The sequence below is a fragment of the Homo sapiens genome, chromosome 14 (assembly GCF_000001405.40).
Source record: "Homo sapiens chromosome 14, GRCh38.p14 Primary Assembly".
Taxonomy (NCBI): Eukaryota; Metazoa; Chordata; class Mammalia; order Primates; family Hominidae; genus Homo; species Homo sapiens.
In genome coordinates, this window is record NC_000014.9 from 89,008,323 (window position 1) to 89,012,455 (window position 4,133).

Here is a 4,133-nt window from a genome sequence, read left to right on the forward strand (position 1 = left end):
GGGTAGAGGGTGGGGAATTAGCCTCACCCAGGGAGTCCTGCACAGGAGCAAAGGCTGATTAAATGCTCTGATGGGGCTCCAGGACAAGACTGGGATTTGCCACCCCACAGAAATGGTCAGAGCTTGAACGAGACAGAAACTCCCCTATCCAGAGGTGGCCATGCCAGAGAGTCCCCATAATGATAGAGTGCAGAGTCAACACCATCAGAGGTTGCATCTAGAGGGGAGAGTGGATAAGCTGGTCTCCAAAACTGCACTGTCTCCTGAAGAGAAGGGCACAACAGAGGGAGCTGCCTGTTACCCATCTATGAGCTAAGGCACCCCTCTGAACAGAGATGCACTAGCCAGAGCCAAGGGGGCTGCAGGAGACAGGCCCAGCAGGCTCTTGGAAGAGCCTGGAAAGGTGCCTGTCGATAAAAGCCATCTTGACCGTCACTAGGCAGACCAAGAGAGAGCAGAGTCATTCACACAAGTGTGAGCAGTCCTTTCCCATACCTCTCCTCCTTCCCCCAGCTCTGGTTGAAGAAAAGTCCAAACTACAGCAAAGAGTGGATAAGGAGGTGAGCAGGCAGGCCACGGGAGGAGAAGCCAGCGGTGCCCTGCTTCCCCCACTGCTGGAGACAGTCTAAAGCAGGCCTGAGCCAAGTCAAGATTGGAGTTGTGTTGAATAGCTTGGACAGGGCATTCTAATTACTGACTGGGCTTTGTTTGAGATTTTCTGCCATTGCAGCACTTTGTTATTCAAAAGTGAGCAGAAAAGTCAAGGGATCTGCTAGACTAGGTAGGGGAAGACAACCTCTACTGAACAAAGATTAAAGGGAGGTGGGAGACAAAAAATAAAAGTATGTTTTGTTAGATCAGGTGTAATGTTGTGGTTTTTGTTTGTTTGTTTGTTTGTTTGTTTGTTTTTGAGACAGAGTCTTGCTCTGTCACCCAGGTTGGAGTGCAGTGGTGCAAATCTTGGCTCACTGCAACCTCCACCTCCTGGGTTCAAGTGATTCTTACAGTTCAGCCTCCTGAATAGCTGAGATTACAGGCGTCTGCCACCACATCCAGCTAAATTTTGTACTTTTAGTAGAGATGGGGTTTCACCATGTTGGTCAGGCTGGTCTTGAACTCCTGACCTCAGGTGATCCACCCCCCTCAACCTCCTAAAGTGCTGGGATTACAGGCATGAGCCACCGTGCCCAGCCTGAGATCAGGTGTAATGTTTATTCAATACTCTGGTTGCATGAGCATTAGCTTATTCAGCCCTCACTTTTCATAAGACTTAGCTTCCTAGCAGTGTTTAGGAAAAACCTTTCTGGTCATGATATGGGTATGCTGAGGAGAAAAGGTCTTCCTTGAATAAATGGACTTTTTTTTAACCACTGAATAAAATTGAACTTGTTTATTTATCACAGGATTGCTCAGAGCCTTTAATATACCAATGTGCATTTTTGACCTAGAAGAGGAAGACTTCTTAGAGAGCACTTCTCATGCTCATTTGATTGCATGTGTTCTTAGAGTGTATTTAGGAGCTTCAATGAAGGGTTTAGAAAATGCTCCCCTGTAACACAGCAATAGCATCTGTATTTGGTAGATGAAGAATGTCTTGGCTGCATCTTTTATGCTGAAAAGAGTAGAGACAGGCCCAGGTCACCTTAGGAGATGATGACTTATTAAAAGGATAAACATGGAAATAAGGAAGTCAAGATTCTCAAGCAGAGGGGTCAGGCCCCAAAGGACTAGAACAAAATTTGGTAATTGAAAAGTCATTCAAAAGACAACACAGCTCTTTGGCAATGATTTATTGGATATGACACCAAAAGCACAGGAAACAAAAGAAAATAATAAATTGGATTACATCAAAATTTAAAACTTCTGTGCATCAAAGGACACAATCAAGAGTGTAAAGGCAACCATAGGATGGGAGAAAATATTTGCAAATCACATATACAATAAGAGATTAATATGTAGAATATACAAAAAACTCCTATAACTCAACAACAAAAAAAGCAATCAATCCTAATTTTAAAATGAGCAAAAGATTTGAACAGACATTTCTTCAAAAGATATACAAATGGCCAATAAGTGTATGAAACAATACCCTTTCATGATCCAATCAGCCCAGGCCAGAGTGGTACTATCATATGGTAGACAGGATAGCTGAGAAAGGTACTATGACAGACATGGCTAGTTGTCTGACAAGGGTGCCATGACAATTCACTAGGGGAAAGATTAGGCCATTCAAAAAACAGTGCCAGGACAACTGGATATCCACATGCAAAAGAATGAAGTTGACCCTATACCTCATGCCTCATATAAAAATTAACTCAAAATAGATAATAGACTCAAACATAAGGGCTACAAATCTTCTACCTGAAAACAAAGGTATAAATATCTACGATCTTGGGTTAGACAATGGTTTCTTAGATATGATATTAAAATCACAAGTAACAAAAATAAATAGACCAATTGGATATCATCAAAATAAAAAATATTTGTGCCTAAAGGGACAACCATGAAGAAAGTGAAAACACAACCCAGAAAATGGGAGAAAATAACTGCAAATCATATTTCTGGTAAGGAAACTGTACTCAGAATATATATTTGAAAAAACTCTTACAACTTAATAATAAAAACATTAACAACCCAATTTAAAATGGGCAAGACATTTGTCCAAAGAAGATATACAAATGGTCAAAAAGTCTCCACATCATTAGTCATCAGGGAAATGAAAAAAAAAAAACTACAATGAGATTCTACTTCACGTCCACTATAATGAAAAGGACAGATTATAATACATGTTGGCAAGGACACGGAGAAATTAGAACACTCATACACTGCTAGAGGGAATGTAAAATGGTATAGCCCTTTTGGAAAAGTCTGTCAGTTCTTCAAAAGGTTAAACATAGAGTTACCATATGATCCAGCCATTCTACTCCTAGTTATATAACCAAGAGAAATAAAAACATTTCCACACAAAAAGTTGTGCACAAATGCTCATCGCAGCATTATTCACAATACCCCAGAAGGAGAAACAACCCAAATGTCCATCAACTTATAAATGAATAAACAACTATGGCATATCCATACAATGGTATATTATTTGACAATATGAAGGAGCGAAGTACTTATGACACATGCTACACCAGGCATGAACTTTGAAGAGATCATGCAAAGTGAAAAGAGCCAGTCACGAAGGACCATATATTGCACAATCCTAGTTATGTGAAACGTCCAGAGCAGGCAAATCTATAGAGACACAAAGTAGGTTAGTGGTTGCCTACGGCTGTAGGGAATGGAGAGATGAAAGGGAAGGACAAGGGGGTGGGAATGCCTAAGGAGTCCACAGGTTTCTTTTTAGGATAATGAAAAATGTTATAAAGTTTATTGGGTAACAGATGCACAAACATGTGAATATACTAAAGGTCACTGAATTGTACACTTCAAATGAGATGAGTGAATTGTATGGTATGTGAATTACACCTCAATAAAACTTTTTAAAAATGGTTTTTTTCTATATAATATTAATTCTCTTCTTCCCGAACAACCCAAAACTCATTTGATTCAAGACACTCCGCTAAAGAACTACATTTCCCAGCCTCCCTAGCTAAGTATAGCCACATTACAACTTCCGGCCAATAAAATGCAAGCAGATATTTTTTGTGGGACATCCAAGAAGGCTGCTTAAAGGGAATCAACTGAATGATACTTATTCTTTAGTCCTCTTTTATTTTCTCCTGCAGCTGGCCTAGAACTCAAATATGACGACTAGCAGTTATTTGGGGTCGTGAGTTGACCTTGAGGGTGAAGATCACATGCCGAGAAAGACAGAAGGAAAATTAAGAGCTTGGGTCCCTGATAATCCCATGGAAACACACCCTATCTATCAGCCTTGGATTGCTCACCTCTAGACTTCTTTTGTGTGAATGAGAAACAACCTCCTATCTTGTTGGTTCTCCTCTTTTATGGAACAGATCCTAATCTTAGCTGACAGCCTAATCCTAATTACCCAAGGTTACTAGTACACAGTAGAGCCGATACCCAAAGCCGTTTCCCTTCCTCCTCCAATATGCCGGCATTTCTGTAGATCGAATGACCTGAGGTTCAGAGGTGAAGAAATCATTCTGTGAAGACAAGACTGCCTG